The following is a 2,471-nucleotide window of genomic DNA, read 5'->3' as shown; positions in this document are numbered from 1 at the left end:
ATTTTTTGTATTTAGATTAACTAACAAGAAGGTGGAGGGTCTCCAACTTTTAAATGGAGGTGCTATTATGGGCAAACCAGTGGCCTTGGAGATAACTAGTCCCTCGGGCTGACTCACTGACTCCCCCACAAAATGCAGTCATCCCAGCCATTGATCTATCTCTTACAAAGGAAATATTTCTATAACAAGGCAATGACCTCTACTGGAAGCAGTGCAGAATTACAGAAATCCCAGTAAGTCTCAAGCTAGACAGAGACAGACAGAGAGACAGAGTGAGAGAGAGAGAGAGACAGAGAGAGAGAGAAACGGTTTTAAGTGTTAAGAAGAAATGACCCACATAGGAATTTTTAAGGGAGAATACTGTTACCCCCAACCACTAAAGAAATCTAAACTGAAAGGAAGTATAAAAGAATAAAAGTAGGGAAACTTTTAAATCACATGTTGCTGGTTGTTGCTGAGGGGAAGGTTGGGGAGAGGGAGGATCACACTGGCTGAGGAGCATCTCCACACTTGCACCTCAGAAGGATTCTAGCTCCTTCCTCAGGGAGTGGTCTACCAACTGCTCATCAGCAGAGGTGCCACCCAGCCCCCCAACCCCAGACTTCATGAGAATCTAAGTTTCAGGAAGTCTCCCCAGGGGTTCTGTAAACACATTAAAGTTTGAGAAGCACTGCCATCTCCCTCATTCAGAAAGAGTGACATTTCAATGGTGTCCTTAGTCCTCTTTAGCATTTCCCAGGGGTGGAAATGCAAATCAACAGAAAGAAGGCACCATACATGAAACACTCTAGGTTCTAAGTTCTAAGCTCACTTGTCTTCACTTAAGTACATATAACACAGCTACTCATAAAATAATACAGGTTGAATTAACAAATGTTTAATTCGCCATTGGTTTTTTTCCTTATAAAACCTTAAAACTAAACTAATGACAGCTTTGGAACTCTCTGATTTCTAGAGTTTTCCATGAAAATGCTGATCCTTCTAGTTCTGCTATTAATCATCCTTCTGTCAGGGAGGCAAGGAGTTTGAATTTTCACTCTCCTTAGTGAATATGTTTCACATACCAAAATTACTTCAGCAATTTGCTCAACAGCTTTAGAAGCCATTACTAAATTGCAGCTCAAATTCATTTCATCTGTTTTCTAAACTGGCTCTAAAATTTATCTTCACAAATTAGTCTAAAGCCTGGTAACAAGAATCAGCTATTTTTCTTCATCAGGAAAGACAGATTTTCTTGTAAATGCCCGCAACACCAGAGTACATTAATTTGTTTACAAATACAGTTTATTTCTGAAGGTGTTCTGGTGAATGTCTAACAACCAGCTCCCAAAAAATGGTTTGAATTTTTGTTATTTGCCAATTGCCATAGTGTAAATTTTCCCACCTTAACCAATTTCAAGATACTAACGTGATCATGGAGCTAGGAAAAGATGAACACAATTGCCTCCTGGCAATGCAAGTAGGTTGTAGCACACCATTATTTATTCTCAAAATACTACCAAATACCCCCCATTCTTCAGACAATTTCTGGTATTGATTTCAAAATATATGTCAGCATGCAATATATGTGCTGTACAACTGTACAAGCTAAATATTTACCAAAGTAAAACAGGCTTGAGATAAATTATTGGTTTTATTAATGACGTGATTATTTTATTATAACAGTAAAAAGGTTGTTCATCAAAAATTTGATGCAACTCTTTTTTGCTTATGAAACATTCATGAGAACAGATACAAAACAGCTGCTGACTCCAACACTGACTGTAATAAGCTTATTCTGCCCACACTTAGCTGCAGGAGCATTCTTCCATTATTTCATTAAGAAGGCTCAGTTTGTATTTGGTGTCCCTCTTATGTTTTTACATTTTATTTCCTTTGTATGTATGTGTCTGTACCCAAATTTCTTCTTATAAGGATCAGTTATATTGTATTAGGGCCCAATTTAATGAACTCATTTTAATTTAATTACCTTTTTAAAGTCCCTATCTCCAAATGCAATAGTAGTCTTCCCGGATATGGCAACACTTCCCATCATAATTCAGTCCCAATCACTTTCTGTTGGCAGGTCAAGACCTTTCAATCTGGACTGGTCCTACCCCTGGCAGTTCCTGCTCCATCTTTAGTCTCTCCAGTTCACACCAGAAAAACTTGTCTATAATTTTATTCATTTTCTAAGGATCTTAATTCTACTCATAAATTATTAGTTTTTCATCATCAGTGCCACAATAAAATGTCACGTTATGGGTTGAATTACATCTCCACAAAAGATGTTGAGGTTCTACTCCCCAGTACCTTGTGAATGTGACCTTATTTGGAAAAAAGGTCTTTGCAGATGACCACGTTAAAATGAGTTCCATGGAGTGGGCCCTAATGCAATATGATTGGTGTCCTCATAAAAACAGTAAATTTGGATAAAGACAGACATGCCTAGAGGGAAGACAATGTGAAGAAACATAGGAAGAAGCCAGCCA

The 2,471-nt window shown here is 37.9% G+C and overlaps 1 annotated feature.

Annotated features, from left to right (window-relative positions):
* Nucleotides 402-952: an enhancer, noted in NCBI's record as "OCT4-NANOG hESC enhancer chr5:62421058-62421608 (GRCh37/hg19 assembly coordinates)". NCBI's record gives its function as "activates a minimal SCP1, AML or CMV promoter by ChIP-STARR-seq in naive H9 embryonic stem cells {active_cell/tissue: H9 hESC(naive)}" and the evidence as "EXISTENCE:reporter gene assay evidence [ECO:0000049][PMID:30033119]".

This window comes from Homo sapiens, chromosome 5 (assembly GCF_000001405.40).
Source record: "Homo sapiens chromosome 5, GRCh38.p14 Primary Assembly".
NCBI lineage: Eukaryota > Metazoa > Chordata > Mammalia > Primates > Hominidae > Homo > Homo sapiens.
Note: the sequence above shows the minus strand (reverse complement) of the source record. Positions and strands in the feature narration are given on the sequence as shown.